Below are 27458 nucleotides of genomic sequence, written 5' to 3' on the forward strand. Positions count from 1 at the left end.
CTGCAACGTCCAATATGGTAGTCACTGGCTACAAGTGGCAATTATGATGTACTTCAAATGTGGCTGGTGCAAATTGAGATGAGCTGTAGTGTATGATGGATGCCAAATTCTGAAAATTTAGTATGAAAAAATGTAAAATATTTTATTAGTAACTTTCCTATTAATTACAAGTTGAAATGAGAGTATCTTGAAAATAGCAAGTTAAATTAAATATTAATTTTACTTATTTCTCGGTGCTTTTTAAATACTAGTGGAACATTTCCATTGGACCTTGCTGTTTCCTACTGTAAGCTCAGATGTGGTGGTTTGATTTGCTGAGAAGTCATTTTTAGCTCATACATTGCCTCTTCTCAGATTAAATTTGGAGCTAAATGGAGCTAAGGGCTTTCTTTCTTTCTTTGTTTCTTTCTTTCCTTCCTTCCTTCTTTCCTTCCTTCCTCTTTCTTTCTTTCTTTCTTTCTTTCTTTCTTTCTTTCTTTCTTTCTTTCTTTCTTTCTTTCTTTCTTTCTTTCTTTCTTTCTTTCTTCTTTCTTTCCACCCTCCCTCCCTCCCTTCCTTCCTTCCCTCCTTCCCTCCCTCCCTCCCTCCCTCTCTCTCTTTCTCTCTTTCTTTCTTTCTTTCTCTTTCTCTTTCTTTCTTTCTTCTTTTTCTTTTTCTTTTTTTCTTTTTGACAAAGTCTTGCTCTGTTGCCCAGGCTGGAGTGCAGTGCTGTGGCACAGTTTCAGCTCACTGCAACCTCCGCCTCCTGGGTTCAAGTGATTCTCCTGCCTTAGCCTCCCAGCTGGGGCTACAGGTGCACACCACCATGCCTGGCTAATTTTTGTATTTTTAGTAGAGAGAGGTTTTCGCCAAGTTGGCCAGGCTGATCTCGAACTCCTGACCTCAGGTTATCTGCCCGCCTTGGTCTCCCAAAGTGCTGGGATTACAGGCATGAGCCACTGGGCCCGGCATTACTTTCTTTACTTCCTGTTTTAAGTAATATGTCACGGCAAAGAGACTGGTGCACACCATTAGCCATTCTAAAAGAGCTTTCATTTTATTTTTTATGTTAAACTGAAGTCAGAGACATAAGAGAGTTGGAAGAATTGAGCCCTCTTTTAATGTGGGTTTTTTGGTTTTGAAAGGTGTTCAGAGCTTACTTGCATGATAGTTCTGAATACCTTTATACAGGGTGTACATATATACAATATGTAACTTATGTTTCCCATTTCTTGTAACTATTTCCAGCCATATCTTTTCTAGATGCATTATATTGATTTAATTTTTATATCTGTGTTTTAAAAATGTCATATAATATATGATCTGTATATCAAGTCTATGTTTTTGAAATAACTGACTAACCTAAGTAATGTCATCTATTCTCACGATTTGAGCCCATGCTTCAATGACACCACTTTCTTCCCATGTTTCTGAAGTTCTAGGTTCTTTTATGTCTCTGTCTTTGGCTTAGAATATGAAATTTGCTTGGAATATATTCCAATCCTCCAACTCTTCTTTGCTGTCTGTATTAGTCTGTTCTCAAACTGCTATAAAGAACTGCCTGAGCCTGGGTAAATTACAAAGGAAAGAGGTTTAATTGACTCACAGTTCCACAGGGCTTTTCTTTTCCGCTGGGAAACTTACAATCATAGCGGAAGGGGAAGCAAACACACCCTTCTTCGCATGGTGGCAGGAAGGAGAAGAATGAGAACCAAGCATAGGAGGAAGCCCCTTATAAAACCATCAGATCTTGTGAGAACGCACTATCACGAGAATAGCATGGGAAAACTGCCCCCATGATTCAATCACCTCTCACCGGGTCCCCACCACCCCACCACACATGGGGATTATGGGAACTACAATTCAAGATGAGATTTGGGTGGGAACACAGCCAAACCATATCACTGTCATAGTGGTTATTATAGATCTTCCTTATAGCCTTTATAACATTGTACTTACTGGTTTATGTTTCTGTTTCTTTTACTAGACTGAGTTCCTTTGAAGACACAGGACTGGGTTTATGTCTGGCACATAAGTTAGACCTTATGAAATGCCTGTTGGATAAATGAAATGGTTAAGAATTCTTAGTGGATGGGTTTCTTTGTAAGTTTATTACTCTCTGGGAATGTAAGGCATTGATATTCTGTAGCCTTTGCTCTAACTGATTTGTCTGCCTCTTGGGTCCTTTTCTAACAGGTGTAAATCTGAGCTTGAAAGAAGCCAACAAGCTGCGCAGTCTGCAGATGTCTCTCTGAATCCATGCAATACACCACAAAAAATTTTTACAACTCCACTAACACCAAGTCAATATTATAGTGGTAATGCATTTTCTTCCTTGGTATAGACAGCTTTTTGTTTAGCTTGAGATTTTAATTCTGCAAAATAAATGAATTAATTCAACTTTGAATTAAACTTTTAATGTATATGTTTAAAAACTGCAGCCACTTGTTACATATCCATTTGCATATCTGTTGAATTATGTTGAGCTACTGGATTGAGCTTTTAAGCTTTTTACTTTATCCTTCTGTGGCATATTTTCAAAGAAATTCAATTTCAGAATATTTAAAACACTTATGTTTTTATGTGTTTTGATATTTGAGTAATTTGATCAATAGTTTGATCTATTTCCCTAACCAAAATGTTGTTTCTACTAAGATACTCATTTCTAGACTATCAAAATCGTTGTTGATCTGTGAATTCCTTCATGGAATCAATGACTGAAAGAAAACTGTATTTGATTGTCTGTTTCTAGGTTCCAAGTATGAAGATCTAAAAGAAAAATATAATAAAGAGGTTGAAGAACGAAAAAGATTAGAGGCAGAGGTTAAAGCCTTGCAGGCTAAAGTAAGTTAATTATGGGCCCTATAATAGAGTATGCAGTTATAGAATACTTTGATATAGAATAGAACAAGGTTAGAGAAAAATCTGTTTTACATAGAGCTGGCCTTTTTGTGTGTGTGTGTGCTGAGAAAAGGTTTTGGGCTCAGTGGAGGTGATTATTTTTTAGTTTTAAAAATAGGGTGGAATGAATAAAATAGAGTGGGGAGGTTAGTTTATCCCTAAATATTAAATGTTCATATAATGTACACTTAATTATTTCCCTATTAAGACCTAGCGATCAGGGCTATTCTTGGAGACAGTGGGGCCAGAGAATTAGTCGTGATGCTCCCTGCCTGGCTTTATCACCTGGAGGCAGTTGCTTCCTATATAGTCCTTTTGATCTATTGAATTTTACCTCTACCATTTTTGTTCACGTGTTATTTGCTGAAAACAGTTTCCAGTTTGGCACTTACTGGTGGCTTTCCACTAAACATAAGGACTTGATGAGATGGCACAATTCAGCAAGCCATTTAAGGCTGAATTTATAAGTAGGTACCTTAAATGCTGAGAATGCAGAAGTACCTCTGGCTTAGAGCTTTAACAATTTTTATTCTTTTCATGACTTTAACCCTCATTTTGATGTCATTAGGATTCTGATATGTAGCAAAGGCATTGCTTATCAAGATGAATAAAAATTAAGTACTCATTCTCTAGTTTGTCCTAGAAATATCATGTGCTTTGTCATCCAGTTCAGTCATTTGTATCAATTCTTCTCTTGACATTGATTCCTAGAGATGTTTTATGGAAAATTTGAGTCTCTAGTAAACATTAACCCTCTTCCTATGGCAAAAAAAAGTGCTTGCTGTAAAAATCTAATGCTGCATTCACCTCCATGTCTTGATATTTGTCAGAATGGAGGCAGAGAGAAGCATAGAAAGAACAATGCAAAGCGGTAGATCATCCACAAATGTATATTATATACTATTAAACACTCGATGTGACTTTTTTTGGGATAGTGATATGGTGGAATGTGAGATTTTTGAAAGAGTTCTTTAGTGTGATGTTTAACTTTGATTCTCTTGGGCAAAGCTATAGGGGGAGGTAACCAAGGACAGGCAAAGAAAAGCCAGTTTTGGAATTCAGAATGAAAGTGAATACTCACATATGTTTAATGGGTTCTAAGAAGGATGCAGAATAAATACTAAGACTTAGCCTATTTTGAATAGATTGGGCATGAGATGGTAGTAGCTTATTCCTTCAATGCTAAGAAGTCGAGCATTAGAACATTCCATCACTGGGTATTAGACTTATGGTTTACTTGACTTGATGAATGTTCTTTGTTGGTATGCAGTGCAACTGTTAACTTCTTGGGATTATGGCTTTATATTCTATCTGAAAATAAATAGCCTTGAGTATATAAGATCTTTAAAGGCCTCTAAAGAGATTCTGTTTCTACAGAAAGCAAGCCAGACTCTTCCACAAGCCACCATGAATCACCGCGACATTGCCCGGCATCAGGCTTCATCATCTGTGTTCTCATGGCAGCAAGAGAAGACCCCAAGTCATCTTTCATCTAATTCTCAAAGAACTCCAATTAGGAGAGATTTCTCTGCATCTTACTTTTCTGGGGAACAAGAGGTGACTCCAAGTCGATCAACTTTGCAAATAGGGAAAAGAGATGCTAATAGCAGTTTCTTTGACAATTCTAGCAGTCCTCATCTTTTGGATCAATTAAAAGCGCAGAATCAAGGTAACATTGAGCTAAGTTAAGTTTAAATTCACTTTGCTTGAGGTAATTTCACAGGTGATTTCAGATATTTTTAATCCCATAAAGTGCTTATGTGTTTTGTTAGGCACATCGGTGTTCAACATCCTAGACTGGTTATGTGAAATATACTGTCTTTTCAATAATGATAAAAGGCATCATAGTGTTGGAATGTAGTTTTATTTGTATTGAAAAGCTGGTGCCTGGAAGCCTCTAAAGTACGTTGAGAGGCTTTGATTTATCTTTCCAGATGCAGGGCGAGTGGGTTGGTTACAGTTTACACTCCCCATGCTTCTCATCTGGCTCCTTTTGTGACCCACAGAACCAGGCTGTGGTCTGACCAGCTTTGGCCAGAGGTTGTGTGTGTGTCTGCAGAACAGCTTTGCTGTGCCCTGCCAGGTTGTCCATATGGGAGCAAACCTGTAACCTTGGCTGCTGTGCCACGCTGCAGCTGACAGCCAAGGGTACCAGGTGGTGTTTTGGAATCTACTCTGTAGAAGATGATAATTTCCAGTGCTGTGATATATTGAAAATCACTGTCAGTGTTCACTGGTGAGAGCTGTCACCTAGCCAATGCCATTGGAACCAATGTTGTGCGTATGTGGGAAAAAAGTGGAAAAAAAATCATTGTTAATTTTGGCAGTATGGGAGGTTCACACTGTCTTGATGTTTACTGGAGGTAAAACTACCAGAGAATATAGGAGGGTGAACTTTTCACTGCTTAGCACTGATTTGCATTGATATGGGCAAAAAACAAATATAGTTTGCTGTTGTGTAAAACTAAATGGTAATTTTAACAAAGGGTGTCATATGTGATGTACTTTTCACAGTCTCAATAAGAAGATAGCGTTCCTGATTTTAGAAAAGCATTCCCCCCACCAAGTTTCTTTGTTAAAATGTAAGAAAATCTGTTTCTCCTGCTTTCTATAGAGTATTTGAATGCAAATGACAATAGAAACTAACTATTGAAATTAAATCCAATTAAAGTAGCTTCTGTATTTAGTGTAAATATTTGTTTCGTCAAAGATTTCAGAAAAGAATAAAACAAATGATAAGTTATGAACATTTTGGGAAAGATATATATGAATTGGAGTGTGATTTTTGTTTGTGGTTCAAGAGCTAAGAAACAAGATTAATGAGTTGGAACTACGCCTGCAAGGACATGAAAAAGAAATGAAAGGCCAAGTGAATAAGTTTCAAGAACTCCAACTCCAACTGGAGAAAGCAAAAGTGGAATTAATTGAAAAAGAGAAAGTTTTGAACAAATGTAGGGATGAACTAGTGAGAACAACAGCACAATACGACCAGGCGTCAACCAAGGTACTTGACTTTTCGTGAATTACTGGAGAAATCTTCATCTTTTCATACAATTATTTAGAAAGAGTATTTTATACATAAGTTTATGAAATGTCAGTAATGTTCTTTGTTAATATATATTAGGTACTCTTGATGCAACTGAACTAGAAAGCTGTTTTAAGTTGGGCAGATCCGGGATCAAGCCTGGTGCCGTACTTTCCCAGCTGAGTGACGTTGGGCAAGTCACTGATCTCTTTTATGTTGCAGGGGGTAATAGAGAATAAAGAAAATGTATATATAGCATCTAGCATGATGTGTGCCACATTAAAATAGGCACTTAATGGCACTTTAAAGGAGTTTTAGGACATTTGATAGGATTTAATTAATCTGCTCTTGGGATCGTATATATAGTTGGTCCATTGTACCCATGAGTTCTGCATTCATGGATTCAACCAACTATGGATCGTAAGTATTTAGGGGGAAAAAAGATCGTATATATAGTTGGTCCATTGTACCCATGAGTTCTGCATTCATGGATTCAACCAACTATGGATCGTAAGTATTTAGGGGGAAAAAAGATCGTATATATAGTTGGTCCATTGTACCCATGAGTTCTGCATTCATGGATTCAACCAACTATGGATCGTAAGTATTTAGGGGGAAAAAGAAAAAGGCCGGGCACCTGTGGTTTACACCCGAATCCCCACACTTTGGGAGGTTGAGACACGCGGATCACTTGAGGCTAGGAGATCAAGACCAGCTAGCCCACATGACAAAACCTTGTCTCTACTACAGGTACAAAAATTAGCCAGGTGTGGTGGTGCACACCTGTAATCCCAGCTACTCGGGAGTCTGAGGCACAAGAATTGTTTAAACCTGGAAGGCAAAGGTTGCAGTGAGCAGAGATTGTGCCACTGCACTCCAGCTTGGGTGACAGGGTGAGATTCTGTCTCAAAGAATGGCTTTGTCTGTACTGATCATATACAGACCTTTTTTTCCTTGTCATTATTTCCTAAACAAATACATTATTACAAATATTTTACATAGCATATACATAGTATTAGGTATTATAAGTAATCTAGAGATGATTTAAAGTGTGTGGGAGGATGTGCATAGGTTATGTGCAAACACTATACCATTTTATATCAGGGACTTGATCATCCTCAGATTTTGGTATCTGCAAGGAGTCCTGGAACCAGTCCTTCATGGATACTGAGGGATGACTGTACACCCACCACTGAATCTTCTTAAGACTCCAACGGAGGCCAAGCTTCTTAGCCTGTTATTTTGTTGTTGTTGTTGTTGTTCTTGTTGTTGCTTTGGTCCCAGCCTACCTCTCTAGCCAGGCTTTTCTTCTCTTTTTTCTATTACTCATTCATTTACTGACTCATTTCACAAGCATGTATTGATATTTGTGCCTGCTATATATTAGGCACTGTTCCAGACCTGGGGCTGGAACAGTGATAAATAGACAAAAATCTCCAGACCTGGGGCTGGAACAGTGATAAACCAACAAAAATCATTGCTTTGTGGAGCTTCATCTTAATAGAGGGAGGCAGAAAATAACAAAAATAAAGTAACATAGATAGTATGGTATATGGTAATAAGTATTGTAGAGAAAAATGAATTATTTGACTTTTAATAAACTCTTTAGATATTTCTGAGGCTTTAGGTAAAAACCATTGTAGTAGACATACTTCTATTATTTGCTTTCTTGGGGCAGGTTCTTTCATTTGTTTACTTAAAACTTTTATTTTAAGATAATCGTAGATTCATATGCAGTTGTACAAAATAATAGCTTGTTAATGTGGTGGGTTGCACTGATTGATTTTCACACATTTGAATGAGCCTTGCATATTTGGAATAAACCCTAATTTCTTACAGTGTATAATTTAAAAAATATATTTCTGAATTTTTTTTTGCTAATGACTTATTAAGGATTTTTTGTGTCTGTATTCATAAAGGATATTGGTTGGCTTTCTTTTTTTCCCCTGCCATCTTTGTTTGATATTTGTATCAGGGTATCCTAGTTTCACAAATTAGAGAGTATTCCTTCCTCTTCAGTTGTCTGAAAGAGACTGTGTAGAATTTTTTTTTCTTTCTTTATATATTAAGTAGAATTCTCTAGTGAAATCATTTGAATCTGGAGATTTCTTTTCTGGGAGTTTTAAAATTACAAATTCAATTTTTAAAATAGTTATAGAACTATTAAAATTATCCATTTCATATTGGGGGAATTAGGATAGTTTGTATTTTCATCTAAGTTGTCAACTTTATGTATATAGAGTTATTCACTGCATTCTCTTATTCTTTTGATATTTGTAGTGATATTCCTTGTTCATTTCTGATGTTGGTAATTTGTGTCTTCTCTCTATCTCTGTGTCAGTCTTGCTAGAGATTTGTCAGTTTTGTTGATCTTTACTAATCTTTCTAAATAATCAGCCCATTGGTTCATTGATTTTTTTTTTTCTCTGTTTTCAATTTCATTGATTGCTGCTTGCTTTAGGTTTATATTGCTCAAAAAAATGTCATTAGGACCTGTTGGTTGATGATGTTGTTGAGTTTGTTAATATACTTGCTGATTTTCTGTTTAGTTGTTCAATTCATTGTTGAGAGAGAATGTTGGAGTCCCCACCTATAACTGTGATTTGTCTGTTTCTCCTTTGATTTCTTCCAGTTTTTGCTTCACATATTTTGCAGCTCTGTTGGTGAAGGCATATACATTTGGGATTGCTGTGTCTTGGTGGATTGACCCTTTTATCACTATTTAGTGTCCATGGTAATTTTCTTTATTCTGAAGTCTACTTTGTCTGTTATTAATATAGCCACTCCAGCTTTCCTTTGATTGTTAGCATGATGTATTTCTTCCTCTTTACTTTCAACCTATTTTGTTATATTGAGGCGACTTTCGTGTAGACAACATATAATTGGGCCATGTTTTTCAATATACTCTTTCACTATCTGTCTTTTTTTTTGAGACGGAGTCTGGCTCTGTCACCCAGGCTGGAGTGCAGAGGCGTGATCTCAGCTCACTGCAATCTCTGCCTCCCAGGTTCAAGTGATTCTCCTGCCTCATCCTCCTGAATAGGAGTAGCTGGGACTACAGGCACCCACGACCATGCCCGGCTAATTTTTGTATTTTTAGTAGAGACGGGGTTTCACCATGTTGGCCAGGCTGGTCTTGAACTCCTGACCTCAGGTAATCCACCCGCCTCAGCCTTCCAAAGTGTTGGGATTACAGACGTGAGCCACTGCACCTGTCCTCCACTGTCTATCTTTTAATGGGTATATTTAGGCTATTTATACTTAATGTGATTATTGATATATTGTGACCTAAGTCTGCCATTTTATTTTTTGTTTTCCATTTCTTTCTGCTTTTTCATTTGTTTTCTTTTTTTTTCCTGCCTTTGCGGGTTGTTTGAACATTTTTTAAAAATCCATTTTGATTTGTCTATATATTTTTCAGTGAATCTCTTTGTAGAGCTTCTAGTGATTGTTCTAGATATTACATTATTTATACACATTTTATCACAGTCTGTTGGTGTCTTCATTTCACTAGTTCTAGTGAATTTTACAGACTGTTTTCTCCCTTTTCGTCTTTTTACCCTCCCTCATTTATAATAGAATTGTCTTAAATGTTTTCTGTACATACATTTAGAACTACATTTTGCTTCAACTCTTAAACATATTTTAAAAAGCTGAGGAAGAGAAGGAAAGCCTATTATATTTGTGTGTGTATGTTTATATATACGTGTGTGTGTATATATATATAAAATCATTGCTAAGCCTGTTCTTCCTTCCCTCCTAGATTTCCTTCCAGTTTCCTTTATTTCCTTTCTGTTTAGAGAACTTCCTTTAGCCCTTCTTTTAGGGTAAGTCTGTTGGCCACAGATCCTTAGTTTTCCTTTATTTGAGAATGTCTTGATTTTCTTTTCATTCCTGAAGGATATTCTGTTGGGTATAGGATTCTGTGTTGACAGTCCTTTTTTCCCAGTGCCATAGTGTTTTTCTTCAGGTCCTCAGCTCCTTAGTCAGTCTGCCTTCTTCTCTCCACCTTTCAAACTTGTTTGTTTTACTATAATGTCCAGGGTTTTTATTTGTTCTAGTTAGGAGGAATAGGGAAAAGTGTGATTATTCCATCTTCCTGGAAGTAAAAATCAGGTTCATTTTTATATATTCTCCTAGTGCAGTGCCTTATACAGAGAAATTCTGGAAAAAGATTGATTAGATATATAAAGGAACAATGGTGCTTCAGTGGAACTATGACCTCCTTTGATCCATGCATTTAATATCCTCATGCAGTCTCACTACGTAATAGTAATTTGGTCTTTTAAGTTAGAAGGACTTGGATTTGAACCTGGCTCTGCCACATCTCAGTTTTATTGCTTTTTGAGTTATTTAATGAACTTCTGAGCCCCAGTTGTCTAATCAGTAAAATTGTGTTAATAATGCCTGTGTCATAGGGTTGTTGTAAAGATTGAGATAATTTTTGTAAAGGCTTTAGCATAGTTCCTGGCACATGGTGAACTTATAATAATATTAGCTGTTATTATCATGGCTTATTTTCAAGTTCCTAGTTAATTAAGCTAATTTTCAGTTGCATTTCTGCCAAGCTAGGCCTTCCTGTATGTAAGAATTACATTTCTCCTTTTACACTTTACTTATTTGGTTTTGGAGTGACAAGTTCACCAAATCCTTGTTCTGTCTGACACATATAATGAAGTTTCTTCACATAAAATCGTGAATTAATATTTTTGACTAGGATACTGCTGAGAATACAGCTCTGGTTTTCTATTAGAGTCTTCCCTCCAGGTTCTTGTTTTTGTTTTGAGACAGGGTCTCACTCTGTCATCCAGGCTGGAGTGCAGTGAAGTGATCCTGGCTCACTGCAACCTCCACTTCTGGGCTCCTTCCACCTCAGCCTCCCTAGTAGCTGAGGCTATAGGCGCCCACCACCACACCTGGCTAATTTTTGTATTTTTAGCAGAGACGAGGTTCACCATGTTGCCCAAGTTGGTATTGAACTCCTAGGCTCGAGCAGTTTGCCCCCCTCAGTCTCCCAAAGTGCTGGGATTACAGGTGTGAGACATCGCACCCAACCCCCTCAGGCTCTTTTTTTTTTTTTTTTTTTTTGAGATGGAGTTTCACTCTTGCTGCCCAGGCTTGAGTGCAATGGTGCAATCTTGGCTCACTGCAACCTCCGCCTCCTGGGTTCAAGTGATTCTCCTGTCTCAGCCTCCTGGGTAGCTGGGATTACAGGCGCATGCCACCATGCCCAGCTAATTTTTTTGTATTTTTAGTAGAGACAGGGTTTCACCATGTTGGCCAGGCTGGTCTCAAACTCCTGACCTCAGGTGATCCGCCCAACTTGGCCTCCCAAAGTGCTGGGATTACAGGCGTGAGCCACTGCACCCGGCCCCTCCAGGTTCTTAATACTTGTTTGTTCTGTGCTTTTTGGGTTCTTTTTTTCCTTTGAGCTAGAAATCCATTTAACTGAAAATTCAGTCTACTCTTTTCTGTCTTGTCCCTAAGGATAGTATGTCCTTGTCAAATGTGTAACTGAAATAAAATTATGCTATGTTTATGCTGGTTCCAGATCTAACATTAGACTTATCTATTAAATGAAATGGAATTACTGTAACAAAAATCAATACCGTGTTCTTAAGTGAACATATGCTGTTTGTAGAGTGTCTTTTCCAAGTATTTACAAGTTGTGAGATACAAGGCTTGAATTCATGGAGAAACAGAGTGTTGAGCTGGCAGCAGACCTGGAGTTCAGCACCCACAGTTCACAGATAAAAAGGTCCGGAGTGAGTGCCCAGGGTCATGTTGTGCTACATATTTTCAAGGACTTGAGCTCTGGGCACTGTTTTAGAGTATTATGGAGCATTCATGACACCTAGTGGTCATATACTCTTATATGAATTAGGTATCACTGATAATAGAATGTTGTTTAAAATTTTTTAAATAAAATGTAAGTACCTTCTAAAGACTCTTGTAACCTTCTGTGTTTAGTAGAAAAGGATTCTTGATTCCAGGACCCTTTTAGTGGACTGTATTGCAGTTTGAAGGAGTGCCAGTAGAGGGCGCCACGGGTTCATTTCATTTACTCTGTGGTGCAAGGTTTTTTTTTTTTCCTGAGATTTGTTAAACTTTGAACCATCATTTGAGCAGTGACTTTTTGTTTTGTTTTGTTTTGTTTTGAGACAGAATCTCGCTCTAATTGCCCAGGCTGGAGTGCAGTGGCACGATCTTGGCTCACTGCAACCCCTGCCTCCTGGATTTAAGCAATTCTCCTGCCTCAGTCTCCCCAGTAACTGGGATTTACAGGCAAGCGCCACCACACCCGGCTAATTTTTGTATTTTAGTAGAGACGGCGTTTCACCATGTTGCCTCAGCATTTGGAACATTGTGGAAAGAAGCATTTTAATATTTAAAATTTCCCACAAAATCCATTATGCTTGAAACAGACTATCATATGAGGGTAATGGGCACCCTCTGATGATTTTACAGCTTTTAAATTACATAGGCTAACACCATTGCATTTTAACCTCTCATTTCCATGCAACAAAATGTTAGATGAATCGTTAGACATGCCGATCTTTTTTTTCATGGCACAAATTAGGAAGTATTTATTTAAGTGGGCTAATGCTTTACATCCTTGCTAATAGTTCCTAAACATAAATTGTGTGCTAAAACAATTATAGCAGTTTTTCTAAAACACAAAATATTTGTTCATTTATGTGAGTAATATTTATTTTGTCTTGAACATTTTTATTCATTATTAGTATACTGCATTGGAACAAAAACTGAAAAAATTGACGGAAGATTTGAGTTGTCAGCGACAAAATGCAGAAAGTGCCAGATGTTCTCTGGAACAGAAAATTAAGGAAAAAGAAAAGGAGTTTCAAGAGGTAAGGTAAATGGATTCATGAGGTGTTTGTCTGAAAGGCTTTTTATGGGCTTTTCATAGTTTGATCACTTGGAAAGGGGAGTTGTTATCACAATTTGGGAAATTCTCTTAGAGGAGAAATGCTTTGTGAGCTAAAGGTCATCTTATTTTCTTTCACATCTTCACTTTTGCGCTTTTTTTAAATCTTTCAGTTTTTGATTAGAGAAGGGAATTAGTATTCAGAATTCATCCATGTTTTCTGATTTGTTTGAGATTTGATATTCAGTAGGAAAGGATCACTTTTCTTCTTTTGGACATTTTCTCTGCTGTGGAGGAAATTGTATTACATTTTCCAGTAGGCTTTTAAAATTTTTTTTTCTTTCACTCTATTTCCTTTATAACTCCAGTATTTTTTTTTTTGAGACAGAGTCTCGCAGTGTTACCCAGGCTGGAGTGCAATGGCACAATCTTGGCTCCCTGCAACCTCCACCTCCCAGGTTCCAGCAATTCTCCTGCCTCAGCCTCCCGAGGAGCTGGGATTACAGGCATGCACCACCACACCTGGCTAATTTTTGTATTTTTAGTAGAGATGGGGTTTTGCCATGTTGGCTAGGCTGGTCTCGAACTCCTGACCTCAGGTGATTCACCCACCTTGGCCTCCCAAAGTGCTGGGATTACAGGCATGAGCCACCATGCCTGGCCAACTCCAGTTGTTTTTAAACCTGTGGGTTGGTAAATAAATTAGGAGGGTAGTTGATGTGGTGGGGAAAGTGGTTGGCAGAAGAGTGAGGGTGGAAGGTGCCCTTCCATAAGTATCTGCCAATTTGGTTCTTTCAGGTGATTTAGCCTGAAAAAGTACCATACGGATTAAGAGTCTATAGATTTTAAATAAGAATGCCTGGAAATGTTAGCTGATATCTTTCTGTGGTTATTAAAGTTAATGGGTAGCATATATTTCCTGTCCTTCTACATTTAAGCCCATTTAAAGTGGTATACAGTTTTTTGTGTTTTAAACACCGTTTTTGAGTATGTTTGGTTTCTTAGTTGAGCTTTGACTGTTGTAGCTCAGTTCTTCTCTCTTGCCCCTGATCCTTCAAAGTAGAGGTAATTAATTTAAGACTGAAGATGAGGTGGAAACAGGCTACTTTCCATGTGGTCAACTGATAAGAGTCCTTCCCCTTTCCCTCAGAGACCTGGATTTGATGCCTGAGGGCAGCATGGAGCACCAAGGCTGACTATGTTCATCGTTAAGTGGACAGTTGGCTCAGCTCCCTGCTGTCTCCTGTGCTCTCTGTGCAGTCGCCTGTTAGGATGCTCATGCCTCACCCTGGAGTCTCCCTAGCGAACCATCATCAGGCTGATGCACCTGCCCTTTGTTTTTCAGGAGCTCTCCCGTCAACAGCGTTCTTTCCAAACACTGGACCAGGAGTGCATCCAGATGAAGGCCAGACTCACCCAGGAGTTACAGCAAGCCAAGAATATGCACAACGTCCTGCAGGCTGAACTGGATAAAGTAGGGGCCGTGTCTCTCTCTCTCTCCTTAATCATCCCCTCTTGTTCCTTGTACTTGTTACTTCTCTACCATAACTGACATATGATACTTTCAAAGAAAAAGCGCTCCACCTTCACTTTCCCTATCAAAGTGGAGAATGTACAGAACCATTCTGGCTCTAGGTTTCCTCATCTAGAGAAACAGTGGGGGTGAGTTAGGATTTCAGATCCGAAAGTCTGTGGAGCTCTCTCATAATCTGTTGGTTCTTGGTTCCATGACCAGGTGGGAGCTGTCCCAAGTAATTTATGCCCCCAAGTAGTTAAAGCACTGAAAATTATAATCACTTTACTTATTTAAGACTCACTCCCAAAGTGGTCTCATCCAGTTTTGTGGCTTTACATATCATCTATGTGATGATGACTCTACCCAGCCTGGATGTCTATTCTAGACTTCAGGTGTGTGGATGTGTGCTTGACAGTCCACTCACATGTCTAAAGGCACTTCATAGTAACATGCTAAGAATTGAACTCTAGGTATTTTTCTTTTTCAAAACTGTTCCTCCCTTAGTCTTCCTTACCCTGCTAACTTGCACTTCCATTCCCCGCATTGCTGGGACCAAAACCTCCATGTCACTTCTATTCTTCTTTTTCTCTTACACTTGAATCTGCTGCCTCTACTGATGGATACTTAGGTTATCAACATTTTCTTGTTCCCTGTGGCACTGTTTGTAATATCACGGGGCAGGTATCTTTGTGTATGTGTGCTGATGTTTCTATAGGTCAGATTTCTGCATGTGAAATTTATAGCCTAAAGAACATATGCATCCCAATATTTGTGTGTTTTGTTTGTTTGTTTGTTTGTTTTGTTTTGTTTTTTGAGACGGAGTCTCCCTCTGTCACCCAGGCTGGAGTGCAGTGGCACGATCTCGGCTCACTGCAACCTCATCCTCCCGGGTTTGAGTGATTCTCCTGCCTCAGCCTCCCGAGTGGCTGGGATTACAGGCGCCTGCCACCACGCCTGGCTGATTTTTGTATTTTTAGTAGAGACGAGGTTTCACCAGGTTGGCCAGGCTGGCCTCAAACTCCTAACCTCAGGTGATCTGCCCACCTTGACCTCCCAAAGTGCTGGGATTACAGGCATGAGCCGCCCTGCCTGGGCAGCATCCTAACATTTGACAGTTACTGCCAAATTGCCCTCCATAAAAGCTGTAGCAGTTACTCTCCTACCAGGTACAAGAGAGGGCCTGTTTCCTCTCATCCTTGCTAATTGGAGGTAGTCTCGGTTTTTAAAATTGTTGCTAATCAAGGAGTGAAAAATACTGTCATATCATTGTTTTAATTCACACTTCCTTGATTACCATTGAAGCTATCTCTTTCAATAGCCATTTGTATTTTTTGTATAAAGTTTTCTGTTTCTAGCCATTGCCCTTTTGTTCAATCATAGAGCGCTGTATATGTTGTATTACAGATATACTGTCTTTTATTCTGTTATATATATTGAAAATGTGTTCTCTTAGCCTGTTTCTTATCTCAACTTATTTTCCTTTTGGTTATTTATTAATACCTAGCTGTTTTATTTTTTGTGGTTAAATCTTTTTCCTGTGTGGTCTCCTTGCCACACCCAGCCTCTTTCATCTCCTATATGCAGCCGCTGAGTGACGTCGCAAGGTCACATTATGGTATTTTAAGACATATTTAGCTGTGACGTATACTGTATCTCAGCCAAAATAGATGGCATCCATTTTGATATTCCATGACCATTTTATTGTTTAAGAATACATGATTAATGAAAAAGTAAAGAACATGAAAATGAAACTTGGTCTCTTTTTCTTTTTGTAGCTCACATCAGTAAAGCAACAGCTAGAAAACAATTTGGAAGAGTTTAAGCAAAAGTTGTGCAGAGCTGAACAGGCGTTCCAGGCGAGTCAGATCAAGGAGAATGAGCTGAGGAGAAGCATGGAGGTAAGGGAGGAGGATGCCGAATTTTCTCCACTTATGTAAGAACCAAGTGCAAGGGGAAAAGAATATTCCTATTCCATTTGTCAGTTGCTTGTCATGACTGTGTGCCTTTTTCTTTTCTATTCACCAGAAGTAAGTATTACAGAATTTTCTGTATATAACCCATGACAGAATATGATTGCTTATTTTTCTACTCTCTATTCTGTATATAATTACTAATATGCATCTAGCAATTATAGCATATCTAGCAATATGTGTCTACAACATGACTTGTATTAAGAATATGTAGTCCTTCCTTAAAGATTGTTTTAGACCCCCAGGGAGGTGGAAAGATGGGAAAGGAAGGAAGGGATTTTTTAAATGGAAAGAAACAAAATTGGAAGTATCATCTAAATCCCTTTTCTAACTGTTGGCATTTGTGTCTTTCAATATTAAAAACACGTGGAAAGTCATAGATTTAAATAAACAAAAGTAGTGACAGATAAAGAGTTTCTAGATTAAAAATTCTTATAAAAACATCAAGCAATTGTCAATTATATGACTCTGGCTTCAAAAGTGGACACTGACCTTAATGTTCAGCCTGTGCATGCCCTGGTTGACGGTGTCTTTGGAGACTTTGTTTTGTCCACAAAGTGGTGGATGAGGGTTCCTGAATGGCATGGATGCCCTGATGGGATTTTATGCATACATACTTCAATTTGGCTTCTCTCTGAATTTATTTAGTGGCCTGGATTTTATTTTAAAGGGCTTAATTAAGAACCATTCAGTGACAGTTAATAGACTGAAACAATTTGAAGAGAGCCATAAATCAACATTGTAATTTTAAGAAGAGGAACAACACAAGAATGGTAGAAATTTCTTCTCCATCAAACCCCACAGGAAAGAATGTTTTTCTGTTTATTCTTTAAATGTTCTATGATCACTTTTTAGGCTGTAAAGATTAAGAAAACTTTGTCCATAAAGAACAGTTATTTGTTCAGGTGAGGAAAGTCTAAATGTATTTATCCCCACCGCTTTGCAGAGTGTATCATGATGGTAAAATCAGAACATCTGTCAGTAGCAGACAGGTGATTGTTAAATCAGCTAACCCCAAAGGGGCAATACTGCTGGAGATAGGGGGCTGCAGCTCCAGCCACAAAGTGGAAGAAAACTTCAAATCAGATGATAGTTTCATCAGCAAACGTTTTCAAATGGAAGTGTTTGTTTCAGCAAAACAAATGTTTGCCTTTTGGCCAGTGGGGACCAACCAACAGATGCTTCTGCTAACATTTCCACAGGCAGACTGGCATCGAACTCTTCCCTCTGTGAGCTTCCCTTTCAGCCAGGAACTCTCCCGCGACTCCACTGGCTGCCTGGTGGAAACATTTTGTAAAAGCAATCATCTGGTTAAGAGAGTCCAAACACTTTAAAAACTGCTTGCTTGGCCAAGTCGCAGTAGTGGGCTGGACATTGTCTTGCAGGTGTTTCTGAAGACTTGTTCATCCCCACGAGGTCTGGTCCGTGAGCTGTAGCGCTGTCCTCAGTTAATCCCAGCCTGTACTGAGGTGCATGCATCACATTTCACTGGTATATCATTGATGTCTGTGTCAAATGAGGGCATCTGTGTGAAAGTGTCTAGCACCGGGCCTGGGGATGAAGTTAATATTTGTCTTAATTTATGGTTATGTTTATGTATGTGTCATCTTTTGAGGGTGATAGCAAGATTTCAAAGAGTTTGGCTGGCTCTTGTGTTTTGCATTGGGATTGGGACCAGATAACTGATGAACCCAGTTAGAGTGGTGGTGTAACTTAGTGGGAAAATGGTAGTGGCTTTAGAGTGAGTGAGATCTGAGATTGTGTTGCTTTTCTGCCACCTACCACAATGTGACCTTTAGACAGTGGCTTACCCTTTCTCAGTCTGACTTTCCTCATCTGCATATAGGGACAAATCATTCTCCTGCCTTTTCAAGGCTGTATTCTTGGTTAAGTTAAATATTGTATGTAAAGTGCTTAGCCCAGTGCCCAGCACATAAGTGCTCAGTCAGTTATTGCAGTCCAACACCTGCCCATTGCCTTGGTCTTCATCACTGCCATGACCTTTTGATGTTAGCATTGTTTGCTGTCACCTACAGGCACAGAAAGTGTGATCAGGGGACAGTGCACTTGAGATTTCTCATATTTATAATTTTGCCTGTTCTATTACTGTGTCACTCTGGGTATCTTTCTGTGTCTAATTATATGTAAGCACTAACAAATTTAGGACGCTTATAGGTTTTGGATGCCGAAATAATGTGACAGTTGTACTGAAATTTTCCTTGTCTGTGTTTAGTAAACATGCTGCTCACAATGAGAAATTATCAGTACTGGAAATGTGATTTAATGGCCCAATCAAGGGTAAAGTTAACATTTAGTATCAAAGTGAATGGAGGGTTTAGATAAGCTGCTCGTCCACTATCCAGTGCCAGCCCCATAGCATTGGGGTTAGGCAATAAAATACCATCGTTTGACAGTCAAGATGAGGGAACACTTGCCTGGGGACCTTTCCAAGCATAGGGATCTGTATTACACTAGGTCCTCTAAGGAGCTGGCTCTGGCAAGCAAGAGAGATGAGGAGGAAAGGGAAAAACACATTCTTTGCATCCATCCCTTATCCAAGTATATAGGCTTCGCCCAGCAGGGGACGTATTAAGCTATATTCATGGATGGGATCATGAAATGCCACACAGTAGCTGAAATTTGTTTTGTCTGGCCCTAGGAAATGATGCCTCCCTTGCTGCTCCTAAAGCGAAGTTGATCTGGGTGGAATTGCTTGCTAAGCTCTAATGCTGGCTTGTGGTTATAGGGATTTTTGTTGTGCTTTTCCAGCATAGTACCCAATTTTGCAAATCATGTGAGGATGCAGGAGATGCCTAGGAAAATGTATCTTTGTATGCTTAACTCATTGTTGATAATGAGATACCCAATCAAGTCTTAAGTGGCTGTAGCCTCGTGGAAAACTAATTGCTGATGGATGGCAGCTTGCACATCCATTTTCAGATGTTCATTTTCTAAATTCTGGCCTTTTAAAATTCTTGGGTTGGTCATAGCCATAGCATTATAAGCCTGCTGGGTCCCAGGATTGGCTGAACATTTCTTCGTTAGACACAAATATTTACGGAGCTAATGCCAGAATAGAGAAAGTCATGTTAATCTTTCCATTGAGCTTACTATTCATTTAAATGTCTCCAGTTATGGACAGACATGGATCGAGACCAACAAACACATAAACATAAAATTCCCCATCTTTCCCTGGTGCCCTCTCTCTCTTCTTTTTTCCTTCCTTCCTATTGGGACGCACCTAGTTTTGCACAGTGTCTTTCCAGCTTTCTTGTCAAGCCTCCAGATGCAGGTGTCATTTGATTTGATTAAAAAATTTTTTTTTTAGAGTAAGAAAATATTTTTTCATTTGCAAAATAAAAATGCTAAGTCGACCCAGGTAATTACATTCTAGTTCCTCTTCTATGTTGACCTCATTCAGCTGATCTTAGCATTGATTACAGAGATCTGGCTACTGTTAAATTTTGGGAGGAAATACTACTAATAATGCTACATTGCCCCTGTCAAAGTGCTTTAAGATGTTTGTCCTTTCACATCTGTGATCTCATTTGAGGGGTGATTATTCTGAGTCTGAAGAACAAACCAGTCATTATACGTTCCATAATTTAATGATGCTAATTTAAATCAATAACATTGTTGCACCTTAATGATCGTGCTTTGCAAAGTTTAACACTGACTAGTGTGAATGTTAGCCTATCAATCTTGAGATCGGTTGGAGCTGCCCTTTAGTTCTGATTGATATCTTAATTCGATAGAGTGTCAGTTTAGCAGCAGGGAAGCAGGATCAGGACACGGTAGATGGGAGTATAATAACTACAACAGGTTCTGTCTTATTTTAATGATGAAATGAACGCATATACATGAACGGAGCAGCTGCCAGCAAGTTTTCAAGTACTTTCTACTAGCCAGATTCTCCCTCTTCTTGAATTTGGCTTTGCTACATCGGTACCCATCTGCTGGTAGTAACCAGACTGATAATTGAAGGCAGCCTTCCAACACAGTATTGCCACGGCCATCTGTTTTCTAACAGTGCAGTAGGGTTTTGGAGGATGGGTCTTAATTGTTTCTTTAAGATTCAGAATTTTTCCTCTACTTCACAAAGGGGTAATTTTGGTAGGTTTGAAATGCAGTTTAGAAAAAAGTTAGCTTTATATGATTTTTCCCCGCTTGAGGATGTGAGGTGCTTGGTTCTCTTAGCTTGTAATGATTTATGCCAATTCCCTGTGGTCCAAAGGGTGGCATACAGTATAGGTTGAGATACTTGTTTGTTATGTGAGTCTTATGTGGTTAATAAGCAAAAAAGTTTTTCTTTGGCATGTAAATATTGCTTGCTTTTAAGATTCAGAACATATAGGCCTCCCTAGTAGTAGAATGGAACTACACATGTACCTGTGTTACTTTATTGCATGCTGTTGCGTGGATGTCTCTTCAATCAGATGCCCAAAGAACCTGTTTTCACTGTGAAAGCTCAGAAGCTAGAATTAATTCTTCCTCTGTGTTCCAGCCCTCTGATTTCCCATAGCACACTCAATGTCTCTTTAGTATTTAGCATATCCTATTGTGTATTAAATGATTAGTATCACATCTTCCCCCACTGGAGGATGTCTGCCCCAAGGGCAGAGACTCTGTCTTATTTATATTTGCATTTTTTGTAATGCACATTCCAGCATCTTGAATATTGTTGGTTTTCTTGATAAGCATTTATTGAAGGTAATTTTTCCCACAGAATCATTCCTGTAACAGCAAACCTTAAGATGGTTTTGCAATGAAAAGTAAACATATGTGCTGAGATTTTTTTTTTTTTTTGGTTTATTAACAAATCAAATGTTTGCAAAGGTATATTTGGCCATTCAGGTGTGATAGGAACTTGGAGGTTTTGTCTTGAGGATCTTGTAGATAGGATTTTCCTTTTGAGCTTACTCTTTAATAGGCGTATGAACAATGAGAAAGTTCAATGAAACTTCTTGAAAGAAAAAATTATCTTCAGATTTGGGTTTGATGCTGTTGTCTTCTGTTCATAACATTATTTAAGTAAGAATGTCTGACTTCATTAGGTACTCAAACGGGGAAATTGTGATTCTTTCCCTAGTGAGATACACAAACAGTTCTGCTAGGGACCTTTATTAAGGCAGAAGTCATAACTTACTTGAGCATTCGTTTTGGCTATAACCAATTAAAATGTGTGTTTTAGGAAATGAAGAAGGAAAACAACCTCCTTAAGAGTCACTCTGAGCAAAAGGCCAGAGAAGTCTGCCACCTGGAGGCAGAACTCAAGAACATCAAACAGTGTTTAAATCAGAGCCAGAATTTTGCAGAAGAAATGAAAGGTAAGTAAACTTAGTATTTTAGAGTTACCTTTCTAAGCTGCTATTCCCGTGAGAGGGGATGGATGGCATTAACATATTAGAGAAACTCTTTGGATTTTTTTTCATATATTCCCTCAAAAAGATGTGCGCAGTTGATGTGGAAGAGTTTTCCCTCTTCTAGTTTTTAGTTTCCAGAGTGAGAGTGGGACTTTTTTTAATTGGAACATATTGAGTCCCAAACGCCTGATGCTCAGCACTTTGAAATCAGAAGGGTAAATATTTTCCACACAAAGCTAAATTGTCAGTGCTGTCTCTCACCCCCGAGTGCTATTCTCTGTGTCTCTAGTGTGCTTGTTAGTTACATCCAGACAGCTCATCTCCTGACTCATTACCATTTCCCTTATAATGGAAAAACCCTATATTAAATGCATGTTTTCCAAGCTCCTAATGACCATTGTTTTTTGATGACTTACTTGACTGAATGATTTTATTTTCTTATTTTAAAGCCAAAGAATTCTGCTCTACACATCAAATGAATCCACTCTTGGTTTCATATTTGTATGTTTGTGCCGGATGTCTTCTACATACCCTTTATTTTCTCACCTGGGGTGTTTGCATATCTAGAATTTCTTTGAACTCTGTCCTGTGGAATGTGTGTCACACTTCTCTGTGACTATTTTTTTAAAACCCCAATCTTGGTGTGGTGGCGGGTGCCTGTAGTCCCAGCTACTCTGGAGGCTGAGGCAGGAGAATGGCATGAACCCAGGAGGCGGAGATTGCGCCACTGCACTCCAGCCAGGGCGACAGAGCGAGACTCCATCTCAAAAAAATAAAACAAAACAAAAACCCAATCTTCCCAAGACAGCTTTTAGTTTTTCCACAGCAGCAGATAGAAATGTCAGTTTTCAGCTTTCTTGAAGGGAAACTGTAAGAAAAGGAACAGTTGGGGCATTTTTCAGTGTTGATCACCCAGGTGATTGTTTGAGTTGCTCACAGCAAAGTGGGATGAAGCCCTTGTGGTGCTGTCTACATAAGCCCTTAACTATAAGTAGGTAGATTGAGATTGACAGCTTAGAAGTTCGTACTGCTTTCCACTTGATATGATGTCTGAGATTGTAATACATGTTACCTTTATCATCTACTGTGGAGGTTCTCAACTTTCAATCTCCCCCAACATACTTGAGCAACATGAAGCCTTCTTATCACTGTTTAATGAAAACATCGTGGTTATTCCCAACCAGGAGGGGCCAGTATGTATAGATGAGTCATTAGGCAGAAGACAGGGGGTAACGGAGTTTGAAGAAGCTTCCAAATGACTGTGACATTCATAGACACTGCCACCCTTACTATGAGGGGCTGGGATGGGGGTGATAATGTTCCTCAGGAATATTCACATATAGGCCTTGAGAATTACTGATATATGGCATCATTTACTCTTTTCTACTTAAGTCTAATCCTGTGGATGTTTTAGCTAAAATGGTGGAGTACTTATTTACTTTTCTGAGACATCAGAATTACTCTACAATAAAGTGGGATGTTCCCATTTCAGTGCTGTTCTTGTCCCAGTTTTCTCTCTTGGAATAAATATTTGAAAAGATGGTAAAAATATACACATATGTAAACACATACAAAGAAAAGAAACAGTGCTTAGGAAAATCATCCCTTGGTATTTTATTCAATAACATGTTCTTAAGCTGCTAGAAAGAAGATGAACAAATGTGTTACTCTCCTTAAGATAACCATTTTTCTCATTTTTATATAAGATAATTACCAAGTGATCCACTTTCTAGGAGGTACCCAGGCAATAATGCCAGTTTTTCCAGGGCTTGAGTAGTTGTTAGTTTGTTTGGATTTTGCCAGGGGGCGGGGGGAGGGGTTAGCGTTTCTGTAGAATAAACATTTATTACAAACATTGACGACTTTTATTTATTTTTAAATAGCGAAGAATACCTCTCAGGAAACCATGTTAAGAGATCTTCAAGAAAAAATAAATCAGCAAGAAAACTCCTTGACTTTAGAAAAACTGAAGCTTGCTGTGGCTGATCTGGAAAAGCAGCGAGATTGTTCTCAAGACCTTTTGAAGAAAAGAGAACATCACATTGAACAACTTAATGATAAGTTAAGCAAGACAGAGAAAGAGTCCAAAGCCTTGCTGAGTGCTTTAGAGTTAAAAAAGAAAGAATATGAAGAATTGAAAGAAGAGAAAACTCTGTTTTCTTGTTGGAAAAGTGAAAACGAAAAACTTTTAACTCAGATGGAATCAGAAAAGGAAAACTTGCAGAGTAAAATTAATCACTTGGAAACTTGTCTGAAGACACAGCAAATAAAAAGTCATGAATACAACGAGAGAGTAAGAACGCTGGAGATGGACAGAGAAAACCTAAGTGTCGAGATCAGAAACCTTCACAACGTGTTAGACAGTAAGTCAGTGGAGGTAGAGACCCAGAAACTAGCTTATATGGAGCTACAGCAGAAAGCTGAGTTCTCAGATCAGAAACATCAGAAGGAAATAGAAAATATGTGTTTGAAGACTTCTCAGCTTACTGGGCAAGTTGAAGATCTAGAACACAAGCTTCAGTTACTGTCAAATGAAATAATGGACAAAGACCGGTGTTACCAAGACTTGCATGCCGAATATGAGAGCCTCAGGGATCTGCTAAAATCCAAAGATGCTTCTCTGGTGACAAATGAAGATCATCAGAGAAGTCTTTTGGCTTTTGATCAGCAGCCTGCCATGCATCATTCCTTTGCAAATATAATTGGAGAACAAGGAAGCATGCCTTCAGAGAGGAGTGAATGTCGTTTAGAAGCAGACCAAAGTCCGAAAAATTCTGCCATCCTACAAAATAGAGTTGATTCACTTGAATTTTCATTAGAGTCTCAAAAACAGATGAACTCAGACCTGCAAAAGCAGTGTGAAGAGTTGGTGCAAATCAAAGGAGAAATAGAAGAAAATCTCATGAAAGCAGAACAGATGCATCAAAGTTTTGTGGCTGAAACAAGTCAGCGCATTAGTAAGTTACAGGAAGACACTTCTGCTCACCAGAATGTTGTTGCTGAAACCTTAAGTGCCCTTGAGAACAAGGAAAAAGAGCTGCAACTTTTAAATGATAAGGTAGAAACTGAGCAGGCAGAGATTCAAGAATTAAAAAAGAGCAACCATCTACTTGAAGACTCTCTAAAGGAGCTACAACTTTTATCCGAAACCCTAAGCTTGGAGAAGAAAGAAATGAGTTCCATCATTTCTCTAAATAAAAGGGAAATTGAAGAGCTGACCCAAGAGAATGGGACTCTTAAGGAAATTAATGCATCCTTAAATCAAGAGAAGATGAACTTAATCCAGAAAAGTGAGAGTTTTGCAAACTATATAGATGAAAGGGAGAAAAGCATTTCAGAGTTATCTGATCAGTACAAGCAAGAAAAACTTATTTTACTACAAAGATGTGAAGAAACCGGAAATGCATATGAGGATCTTAGTCAAAAATACAAAGCAGCACAGGAAAAGAATTCTAAATTAGAATGCTTGCTAAATGAATGCACTAGTCTTTGTGAAAATAGGAAAAATGAGTTGGAACAGCTAAAGGAAGCATTTGCAAAGGAACACCAAGAATTCTTAACAAAATTAGCATTTGCTGAAGAAAGAAATCAGAATCTGATGCTAGAGTTGGAGACAGTGCAGCAAGCTCTGAGATCTGAGATGACAGATAACCAAAACAATTCTAAGAGCGAGGCTGGTGGTTTAAAGCAAGAAATCATGACTTTAAAGGAAGAACAAAACAAAATGCAAAAGGAAGTTAATGACTTATTACAAGAGAATGAACAGCTGATGAAGGTAATGAAGACTAAACATGAATGTCAAAATCTAGAATCAGAACCAATTAGGAACTCTGTGAAAGAAAGAGAGAGTGAGAGAAATCAATGTAATTTTAAACCTCAGATGGATCTTGAAGTTAAAGAAATTTCTCTAGATAGTTATAATGCGCAGTTGGTGCAATTAGAAGCTATGCTAAGAAATAAGGAATTAAAACTTCAGGAAAGTGAGAAGGAGAAGGAGTGCCTGCAGCATGAATTACAGACAATTAGAGGAGATCTTGAAACCAGCAATTTGCAAGACATGCAGTCACAAGAAATTAGTGGCCTTAAAGACTGTGAAATAGATGCGGAAGAAAAGTATATTTCAGGGCCTCATGAGTTGTCAACAAGTCAAAACGACAATGCACACCTTCAGTGCTCTCTGCAAACAACAATGAACAAGCTGAATGAGCTAGAGAAAATATGTGAAATACTGCAGGCTGAAAAGTATGAACTCGTAACTGAGCTGAATGATTCAAGGTCAGAATGTATCACAGCAACTAGGAAAATGGCAGAAGAGGTAGGGAAACTACTAAATGAAGTTAAAATATTAAATGATGACAGTGGTCTTCTCCATGGTGAGTTAGTGGAAGACATACCAGGAGGTGAATTTGGTGAACAACCAAATGAACAGCACCCTGTGTCTTTGGCTCCATTGGACGAGAGTAATTCCTACGAGCACTTGACATTGTCAGACAAAGAAGTTCAAATGCACTTTGCCGAATTGCAAGAGAAATTCTTATCTTTACAAAGTGAACACAAAATTTTACATGATCAGCACTGTCAGATGAGCTCTAAAATGTCAGAGCTGCAGACCTATGTTGACTCATTAAAGGCCGAAAATTTGGTCTTGTCAACGAATCTGAGAAACTTTCAAGGTGACTTGGTGAAGGAGATGCAGCTGGGCTTGGAGGAGGGGCTCGTTCCATCCCTGTCATCCTCTTGTGTGCCTGACAGCTCTAGTCTTAGCAGTTTGGGAGACTCCTCCTTTTACAGAGCTCTTTTAGAACAGACAGGAGATATGTCTCTTTTGAGTAATTTAGAAGGGGCTGTTTCAGCAAACCAGTGCAGTGTAGATGAAGTATTTTGCAGCAGTCTGCAGGAGGAGAATCTGACCAGGAAAGAAACCCCTTCGGCCCCAGCGAAGGGTGTTGAAGAGCTTGAGTCCCTCTGTGAGGTGTACCGGCAGTCCCTCGAGAAGCTAGAAGAGAAAATGGAAAGTCAAGGGATTATGAAAAATAAGGAAATTCAAGAGCTCGAGCAGTTATTAAGTTCTGAAAGGCAAGAGCTTGACTGCCTTAGGAAGCAGTATTTGTCAGAAAATGAACAGTGGCAACAGAAGCTGACAAGCGTGACTCTGGAGATGGAGTCCAAGTTGGCGGCAGAAAAGAAACAGACGGAACAACTGTCACTTGAGCTGGAAGTAGCACGACTCCAGCTACAAGGTCTGGACTTAAGTTCTCGGTCTTTGCTTGGCATCGACACAGAAGATGTAAGTACCTGGGATTTAAATGCCATTTCTCGGTTTACATGACTAGTGGACACTCAGTAAATGTTTGTCTAATTGAAATGTACATTAAACCTAAGTTAAAATATTTTTAGGGTTCAAGGAAATAAAATACACCAAAATATTTTCAAAACAAACCAGAACTTGAGGAAAATGAGTAAACGTTATTTGAGGAATAAATTTCTATAGGGATTAGATTTACATAGCATTATATAGAATATTACTAAAGATGTTTTTAAAGTCTGGAGAAAATTATATTATGGAGTCAGAAAGTCTTTAGAATGTGTGTTTCCACCCTTTGTGCATTAATAAAGTATACTGAAATAATTAAGAACTTACAAATGGTAATATGTAAATTTTTAATCTCTCCCACTTTTCAGACTATTTTTGATGTTATGGCATTATCGTCATGAAACTAAATACAGCAGATTCTTTATGTATTACTAAACAGTTTTCTCTCTAACAATTTACTGTGGTACAAAAATATGATTTGGTATAAGTCATTTAAAAGGGCTT

At 38.5% G+C, this 27458-nt stretch overlaps 1 protein-coding gene across 3 annotated transcripts in view; it reads left to right on the forward strand.

Annotated features, from left to right (window-relative positions):
• Positions 1-27458, forward strand: part of CENPF (centromere protein F) — a 61377-nt gene that overhangs the window by 13203 nt on the left and 20716 nt on the right. For all 3 annotated transcript variants that reach the window (NM_016343.4, XM_011509082.4, XM_017000086.3), the window contains exons 4-12: positions 2176-2297; positions 2732-2823; positions 4258-4549; positions 5682-5884; positions 12649-12774; positions 14137-14265; positions 16083-16205; positions 21469-21604; positions 23524-26927. In NM_016343.4, the coding sequence (NP_057427.3) occupies positions 2176-2297; positions 2732-2823; positions 4258-4549; positions 5682-5884; positions 12649-12774; positions 14137-14265; positions 16083-16205; positions 21469-21604; positions 23524-26927 (4627 nt within the window). The remainder of the gene's footprint in view (positions 1-2175; positions 2298-2731; positions 2824-4257; positions 4550-5681; positions 5885-12648; positions 12775-14136; positions 14266-16082; positions 16206-21468; positions 21605-23523; positions 26928-27458) is intronic.

This window comes from Homo sapiens, chromosome 1 (genome assembly GCF_000001405.40).
Source record: "Homo sapiens chromosome 1, GRCh38.p14 Primary Assembly".
NCBI classification, from domain to species: Eukaryota; Metazoa; Chordata; class Mammalia; order Primates; family Hominidae; genus Homo; species Homo sapiens.